The sequence below is a fragment of the Homo sapiens genome, chromosome 6 (assembly GCF_000001405.40).
Source record: "Homo sapiens chromosome 6, GRCh38.p14 Primary Assembly".
NCBI classification, from domain to species: Eukaryota; Metazoa; Chordata; class Mammalia; order Primates; family Hominidae; genus Homo; species Homo sapiens.
The window spans coordinates 109,943,526-109,949,995 of record NC_000006.12 but is presented as its reverse complement, the minus strand read 5'-3'; the positions used below and the strand labels follow the sequence as shown (position 1 = coordinate 109,949,995).

The 6,470-nt window shown below is 46.8% G+C and overlaps 2 annotated features.

Moving 5' to 3' along the window:
* Positions 4,374-5,271: an enhancer, noted in NCBI's record as "OCT4-NANOG-H3K27ac hESC enhancer chr6:110265928-110266825 (GRCh37/hg19 assembly coordinates)". NCBI's record gives its function as "activates a minimal SCP1, AML or CMV promoter by ChIP-STARR-seq in naive H9 embryonic stem cells {active_cell/tissue: H9 hESC(naive)}" and the evidence as "EXISTENCE:reporter gene assay evidence [ECO:0000049][PMID:30033119]".
* Positions 5,272-6,170: an enhancer, noted in NCBI's record as "OCT4-NANOG-H3K27ac hESC enhancer chr6:110265029-110265927 (GRCh37/hg19 assembly coordinates)". NCBI's record gives its function as "activates a minimal SCP1, AML or CMV promoter by ChIP-STARR-seq in naive and primed H9 embryonic stem cells {active_cell/tissue: H9 hESC(naive and primed)}" and the evidence as "EXISTENCE:reporter gene assay evidence [ECO:0000049][PMID:30033119]".

Sequence of the window (6,470 nt, the reverse complement as noted above, 5' to 3'; positions counted from 1 at the left end):
GGTCTGCATCCTTGGCCTAAAAGTTTTTCCCCGGAATTGTCTTTCTTTCAGAAGGCAGAGTTCACAAGACACAACTGATCACAAAGAGCTCGGTAATAGCTCCTTTGCGGGTGGCCCCTCAGCCCTGCGGCGCTGGGACAGTGGGAGTGGCACGGCCTCTTAGACTCTGTGCACCTGCAGTCCTCCTCCTGCCCATGTGCTGTGAATGGGGAAGGAGCATTGTCACTGTAGGTGCAGCTGAGCTGGCCAACCCACCTTCTCACTCCACCTTGCCAGAAAATTGGGTCAGTAGGAGAGTTTTTGTTTTTGTTCTTTAGATACTTTGTTTTTCCCCTCTAAAGCATTTTTCTAAGATTCTGAGAAGGCGACTGTTAGACGAACATGCAGCTATGACTCCTCATCTGATAGGAGAGCTCATCAGCCAGCCAACCCTGGCGACCATGCTGGGGCAGGAGCTCTAGCCAGGATTCCCTCACAGAACAATCGCACTAAGGTTGGACTGTCCTGGGGTGGGTGGCAAGGGCCAAGGTGCCTCGTGCAGGGGGAAGCAGGCCTGTCATCTGGGCCCGCCGAGGCGCTCTGGATCCCTCTGACTGTTCTGCAGGGAGGAAGCTTTTCACCCCCAGCTCGGGTCAGGTACAGCATTACACTGCCTCTCGCCACAGTATTTTTCTTTCACAGCACTCCCAGAGTTTGCAAGATATAGTTGAAGGATTCTTTCACGTAATAATTATGTTTTCTAGTATCTGATGCTTTGACATCTATGCCTTGCAGTTCCTGGAGGGATTGCCCCTCCCAGGGCTAGCCAATTGCTGAAGATTAAGTAAACAACTCACCTGGGAGCAGATCCTTCCTATGCACAGCAACCAAGCCTGAGCACCTAAGCCCCAACCACCTCCTTCCGCAGGCCCTCACACTCCTGGGCCAGTATTCCCCTGCCCTCATCAGTCCAGGGCCAGAGCCCATTGAAATTATTCAAACTTGCCAACGCTAAGCCTTCCCACCCTGCCTCATCTGTTCCTTTCCCGCCTCACCTGTTCCTTCCCTGCCTCACCTGTTCCTTCCCCGCCTCACCTGTTCCTTCCCCAGGAAGCCACAATAAAGACTCTTGCCCATGTTTTCCCCTCCCTCCCTCCCTCCGCCTCCTGTCCTGACCTACCCTGCTGCTTTTCCTCATGGCCCTGCAGAGCATGCCCTGCCTCCTGTTTCTAGGGATGGGTGAGTACAAAAGCTCCTTTCTCATGACAGTCATTTCCAAGTCTGCATGTCTTGCTATACCTGATTAAAAGAAAGCCTGGCTACCTTTACAACATCTTATTAATGATTCTCTTGTTCACTGGATGGTGACCTCCGTGATGAAACAATGTATCTGTTTAATCCAGTCCCTGGCCCAGCACCTGGCTTGTAGCATTTGTTGAATCAATGATTGAATGAATAACTGAATGTTTTCAAGTTCCCTTAGCAATTCAGGGAAGAGGAAGAGTTTTATAAAATTTTTTTCATCTTAATGTATTGTCCATCTTTCAACAGACTGACACTCCAGTCCTTACTGATTGAGACGAGGCCCCTTCTGACCTGCTGTCCAGGAGTGGAGGTGGTTGGCCACATACTCAGCCCAAGCCAGTTTCCCCCTTTGCTGTGGACTATGCTGGACAATATGGCGGGGTACTGGGTAAAGCTTTACTGCAAAAATAAATAAGGAGAGGGAATCACTGCTTCTATGGGGTCTGCAAGACTTTGAGAAGCAGATAGTACTTAAGCTGGTCTTGAAGAAATGAAAGGACTTTAGCAGATTATGGAGCACCTTCCATGTACCAAGCACTGCTGATGTTTTATTTGTGTGACCTCCCTTGGGCTGAACTGCATCTTTGAGATATATTTAATTTCTTTTTTACAGATGAGGAAGTTGAAGCTAACTAAAGTTAAGTAACTTGTCTAAGGTTACACCATTACGTAGCAGAAGCAAAATTTGAATCCAAGAAGACTTTAGACCAAAGCCCATGATCTCTCTATTATGCCAGGCATGCCGTGTGTTCAATGATAATACGATGCCCGCAATTACATGTGCCTGGCATGCACGGAGGTCACACACATCATCTAATCTAATCATCTTCAAAACATAGGGTGATATTCTGACTATCTTCATTATACAAATTCCAAAAAGAGGCAGAGAACAGTTTAATAACTTGTTTAAGTTCATACAACTACTAAGTGACAGAGCTAGGAATTGAATCCAGGCTGGTGTCAGAATCCACATACTTAACCTAATCATTTAGTTTGTTCATATATGCACATGCGTAGGGGTTTGGGAATGGCATGGAGGGCAGGGGGCAGGGAGGAGTGGAGGCTGGATGCTGGCAGTTTTATCAATTTTGGCAAAAAATCTTTTTAGGATAGGATTTATTGGCAAAATTCTGTGTGAGCAGAAACAATAGTAATAATCAGCAATGATAAATATAGCTGAAGATTTGTTTTCTCTGAGGCAAACCAATTAGGGTAAGGACAGTGTGTCTCCCTAACTCTGCACTCCCAAATGGACACAATGTGCCTGGTATTTCTGGGATGGAAGGGGCTATGAACTGGGACCTGAGGTAGGTACTTCGGTGACTCACAATCCTTGACAATGCCACAGAGCCCTGGGCTCCTCTGCCTCACAGCTATGTCTGCTACCAAACTCCACAGCCAACAGCCAGCCATCAGCCTGGCAGTAAGAAAGGGGCTCGAGGCCTATGGCTGCAGGAACCTGTAGCTAGGGGCAGTGCCCTGGCTCAGCAGCCCTGGCCTCCCAGGCCGTAAAGGTGCAGAATGGCCCCCTTCCAGCTACAGCACCTGGTGAGTCATCAGTGCTCCATCACTGCATGTTAAAGGTGAGCCTCTGTAGGAAAGATAGAACTTACATCGCTCTGTGCCATGAGTGCTCTCAGAAACAGGCCCTGGGCCTCCCTAGCTTTCCTACGTCTGCTGTCATCACCAGCAGTACCCACAGGAGCCTGGGGTGCTTGCTAGGCAACAACCCATCTTGGCATCCTCCTCCAATCTGTAGATGTCTTTACTCAGATTCCCTGTCTCTAGGTTCATCCTTCCTGCAGGAGAATTGGCCAGACCGGGGTCAGAGATTGTGTAGGACTCCTGCAGGATGCTTGGGTACTTCATCCAATAAAAGCCTCCCTTAGAACCAATCACTGTCCCTTAGGTGCCTTCACCTTTCAGTATTTCCAGTGTTTTCATTTGCTAACATTGAAAATATGTGTCTTCCAGAGGCAATTCATTATGGAGAGGTTTATTAGCTCATGCATGAGTTATCTGGAAGTATTCCTCTTCTCTCTCCTATGGTTACTTTTATGGCCATTTTCTGCTAGGAACCAGAGGTCTGGGAGTAACAGAAGGGTAACCTATGTTTTATGACTTACTGCTGCTGGTTTTGGAGGCAATGTGTTATTGACTGAGTTAAAAAAAAAAAAAACAAAAAAACTTTCTTTGGTCCGTGGTCAAAGGTGAACAGGTTGCAAAATTAAGAAGTAAAATATTGGCCAGGCGTGGTGGTTTATGCCTGTAATCCCAGTACTTTGGGAGACCAAGGTGAGCAGATCACATGAGGCCAAGAGTTCAAGACCAGCCTGGCCAAAATGGCAAATCCCCGTCTCTACTAAAAATACAAAAATTAGCCGGGCATGGCAGTGCAAGCCTGTAGTCTTAGCTACTTGGGTGGCTGAGGCAAAAGAATTGCTTGAACCTGAATTGCTTGAACCCAGGAGGCGGAGTTTGCAGAGAGCTGAGATCACATCACTGCACTCCAGCATGGATGACAGAGCCAGACTCTGTCTCAAAACAAACAAACAAACAAACAAAAGGAGTAAAATATTAAATAAATTACCACCCTCCCCACCTCCCCACCCCCTATAACCTTCCCTTTCCCACCTGAGTCTTTTTCCTACTTATGAAGACAAAATGTGTGGCCACTCTATCAGGAGGACCTGCAAAGATTGCACAGGCTGCCTTCATTTCTCCTCAATCTGCCATACTCAGTGGGGCTTCTTGACCCTCTGGCTTTAAACCTCATTTGCATTGCTCTGGTGAAACTCACAAGCAACACAAGGCTGAAGAAGGTGGCAACTGGCAAGAAAGTACTGTTCAGACTTTTTAACACCAACAGGGGCATTTCTATCAAATATCCCAGAACCCATGCATGGGTCTTATTGGGCTGGACTCCACCAAACACATGCCCCACAACCCTGTCCCAAGGAACAGCATTCTTTGGTGTGCACCCCTCTCCCTCCCTGTCCATTAAAGCAGCTCTCTCTCCCCCCAATTTATTTGCCTCTATCTATGGAAGAGCCTGTCCTCCCGAAGGAGGGTGGTCTTAGGAGTAAGAATTGAGGGGAAGAGAATCGGTATTTATGGAGACCTGTAACTGGCCAGGCAATGTGCTAGGTGCCTTCTCTACTTTTTTGCATTAAATCCTTAAAATAATCCTATAATGCATAAATCATAGTTTAGAAATAAGGAGGCAAAAACTTAGAGAGATTAAGACATTTCTTTTTATACCATCACACAGCTGGCAAAATCCCCAGCCCACTGGCCCTGTTTCTCAGCCAGTTATTTTCACTAGAGGGAGTCTCCAGAGAAACAGAGGCTTGCTAATCCTCACACCTATCCATGACAATCATCCATGGTGCAAGCATGGAGAGAAAGGGAAATGGAGGGGTGGCAGCCAGGTTTCAAGCCCAGGTGCTAATACTTGCAATTAGCTGGCAAACAAAACAGAACTGACCAGAAAGCCTAGTAGAAGAGCAGAGGTTTAAGAGAAAAGCCAGCAGCAGGTGACAGGTTTCCATTCTCTTCCACCCCCTGGATGTCCTTGGGAGAGTTTGAAAATGCAGCCTTGAGGACCCTGGCTGTGTTTCCTGAACTGGTAGATCTGGAAGTTGAGTGGCGGTTACAGTATTCCTAAGAACATGATCATTTCCTTTTCAAGGAGAGCTTTAGTCTGAAAAGGAAGAATTCACCTGCTACATTCTATGATCCAGCAGAAGTGACTGACTTGAACTGCCAGCCTCTTGTTGCTATAGGAACGATTTCCTACCCATTTTCTGAAATACACGGGCCTGGGTAAATGCTACCATTATTCATGCATGTACTTCCACTGGTGCAATTGGAAAAAGTCCGCCAGGTGGTCACCTATCAAAGACAGAACCTGAAGACCTCTTTCTAATGTGAAAACTATTTAACAATCCCATCTCAAATCACAGGGGTGTTTGTAGATTCTGTCCTGTGGTGCACTCAAACTTTCCTCTCAGCTTGTTTCCCAGGTAAACAATGATTGGTGAAGGAGGTGCTGTGAGATTCAGTTCAAGGAATGCAACCTGGTGGATATGACTCATCCGGGAGCCAGGGGTTCAGTGCAAGCACAAAGGAGCTGAGGATGAGTGGTGTGTGCACATACTCATTCAGGCCACACACACACACGCACACACACGCAGCCCCCACCTTAATTGTTGTTGTGCTCCACTATGTTCCCTTCCTGGAGGTCACATCACATTTGGTCAACAGAAATTCCTCAGGGTGAGCCACCGAGCCTTAGGACTCAGACAAAGTTTGCTGCCTCCCTGCATTGAGACCCATGGTCCGCACACAATGTCTATTTTGCATGCGAGTGCAGGACATTTCCATTTTTTAAAGGTGGAATTCTCTATGTGGAGGCAGCCTCAACATAAGCGGAAAGGGGACTGGATTTAAACTCAGAAGACTTGCCATCCACTGAGCTAGCTCTGGGACCTTGAGCAAGTCGTCTGGTTCAACTGGATGACATTTTTCTCATCCATGAAAATGGATGATCAAGCCTCCTTCACAGGCCGATTGGCTCAGATAAGTAAATTGATTCATGCATTCAATAGTTGCCTAGGGCTGGGGATATTTCAAATGAAGATGGGAAAAGGTCCTGCTCTCATTCTAACATAAGGAAGTGAGAAAAATAATAAATAGGGGTAAATAATGTGAAGATAAATAACAGGGGAGTATGAAAGAGAGGATCTGGCAACTGCTTTAGATTGGGGGGTCCGAGAAGGCATCTCTGATGAAATGGCACCTAAGCTGAGATCTGAATGACAGGAACCAACCAGTCACACATGGGGGAAAAGCAATCAGCAGAAGGAATATGCAGTGCAATGACTGTGTTATGGGAATAAGCTTGGACTGTTTGAGAAAGCAAAAGAAAGGTGACACGGCTGGAGCATTGTTGGGGAGTGGGAGGGGGAGGCAGAGGCCAGCCCTGCAGCACTTTGTAAACCCAGGTAGTAAGCTGAAATTTTATTCTCATATATAGGAAGTCATGATAATGGTTTGAGAAAGGACAGGGCTGCATGGTTTGTTTTTAAAAGATTTCTGTGCTCACTCTAAGGAAAGTGGATTTAGAAACAAGAAAACAAGTTAGGAGGCAATTGTACTAGTCCTGGCAGAAGACAAGGGTGGGT